Here is a 2,253-nt window from a genome sequence, read left to right on the forward strand (position 1 = left end):
TACTCTGTCGCCCAGGCTGGTGTGCAGTCAGGCGATCTCAGCTCACTGCCACCTCTGCCTCCCAGGTTCAAGTGACTCTCCCGCCTCAGCCTCCCAAATAGCTGGGAGTACAGAAATTTGCCACCACACCTGGATGATTTATTGCATAATCCATTCTTTCCTTTGTGTATTTGGGTGTGTTTCAGGACTTTGTATTCTATTAATGTTGTCTATTTGTGTTCCCCCAAAGAGTATTTCAATTTTTTTGTATTTTTAGTAGAGACCGGTTTTCACCACTTTGGCCAGGCTGGTCTCAAACTCCCAACCTCAGACGATCCACCCACCTCGGCCTTCCCAAGTGCTGGGATTACAGGCATGAGTCACCGCGCCCACCCTGTTTTCAGTGAATTCTTTCTTCACATCACATCCCATGACTGTTTTTCTATAGGATTTTACTCTTTTGCACTTCAGTTTACAGGACTTTTTTTTTTTTTTTTGAGACAGAGTTTCAGTCTTTTGCCCAGGCTGGAGTGCAGTGGCGTGATCTTGGCTCGCTGCAACCCTCACCTCCCAGGTTCAAGCAATTCTCATGCCTCAGCCTCCAAAGTAGCTGGGATTACAGGCACCTGCCACTATGCTCAGCTAATTTGTGTAGTTTTAGTAGAGATAGGGTTTCACCATGTTGGCCAGGCTGGTCTCGAACTCCCAACCTCAGGTGATCCACCCGTCTCGGCCTCCAAAAGTACTGGGATTACAGGCGTGAGCCACCACACCCAGCATTTTTTATTTTATTTTATTTTGTTTTTGAAATAAAGTCTTGCTCTGTCACCCAAGCTGGAGTGCAGTGATGCGATCTTGGCTCACTGCAACCTCCACCTCCTGGGTTCAAGCAATTCTTGTGCCTCAGTCTCCCAAGTAGCTGAGACTACAGGCACATGGCACCACATTCAACTAATTTTTTGTAGTTTTTGTAGAGACAGGCTTATTGAGGCTGGTCTCGAACTTCTGACTTCAAGTGATCTGCCCGCCTCAGCCTCCCAAAGTGCCAGGATTACAAGCGTGAGCCACCATGCATGGCCAAGGAGTCCTTTTTATGCAGTAGAAATTTGTCCTTTTTTTTTTTTTTTTTTTTTTGAGACTCTGGGCTCAAGCAATTCTACTGCCTCAGCCTCCTGAGTAGCAGGGATTACAGGCACATGCCACCACACCTGGATAATTTTTTTTTTTTGAGACGGAGTTTTGCTCTTGTTGCCCAGGCTGGAGGGCAATGGCGCGATTTCAGCTCACTGCAAACTCCGCCTCCCGGGTTCAAGAGATTCTCCTGCCTCAGCCTCCCGAGTAGCTGGGATTACAGGCATGCGCCACCACACCCAGCTAATTTTGTATCTTTAGTAGAGACAGGGTTTCTCCATGTTGGTCAGGCTGGTCTCGAACTCCCGACCTCAGGTGATCCACTCGCCTCGGCCTCCCAAAGTGCTGGGATTACAGGTGTGCGCCATGGCACCTAGCCAGAAATTTGTCTTATTTGTTGCATATATTATTGTTCAGTTTGTTGTCTTTTGACTATTATTTTTCCCTGGAAAATGTTAAAATTTTTACTGTGGTCAAAGTTGATAACTTCTGAGTTTTGAGTCATGCTTAAGTAAGCCCATCCCACTGCAAGATTATAAATTTTTTTAATCTGGTTACTTTTATGGTTTCATGTTTTAGACGTGTATCGTTGAGCCTTTGAAACTTATTTTAGTGTAAGTAATGTAGGAAGGATACAAAGGCATTGTTTCCAGATGGCTACTCAATATTCCAGAATGATTTATTGCATAAGCCATTCTTTCCTTTGTGTATTTGGGTGTGTTTCAGGACTTTGTATTCTATTAATGTTGTCTATTTGTGTTCCCCCAAAAAGTATTTTAATATAATAGTTGTGTTTTTGTTTTTGTTTTTGTTTTTGTTTTTTGAGATGGAGTTTCACTCTTGTTGCCCAGGCTGGAGTGCAATGGCGTGATCTCAGTTCACCACAACCTCTGCCTCCTTGGGTTCAAGTGATTCTCCTACCTCAGCCTCCCGAGTAGCTGGAATTACAGGCATGTGCCTCCACGCACGGCTACTTTTTTGTATTTTTAGTAGAGACAGGATTTCTCCATGTTGGTCAGGCTGGTCTCGAACTCCCGACCTCAGGTGATCCGCCCACCTTGGCCTCCCAAAGTGCTGGGATTACAGGCGTGAGCCACTGCACCAGGCCTAATTATAATGGTTTTATAATATATTTTAATATCT

The sequence above is a fragment of the Homo sapiens genome, chromosome 22 (genome assembly GCF_000001405.40).
Source record: "Homo sapiens chromosome 22, GRCh38.p14 Primary Assembly".
Classification (NCBI taxonomy): Eukaryota; Metazoa; Chordata; class Mammalia; order Primates; family Hominidae; genus Homo; species Homo sapiens.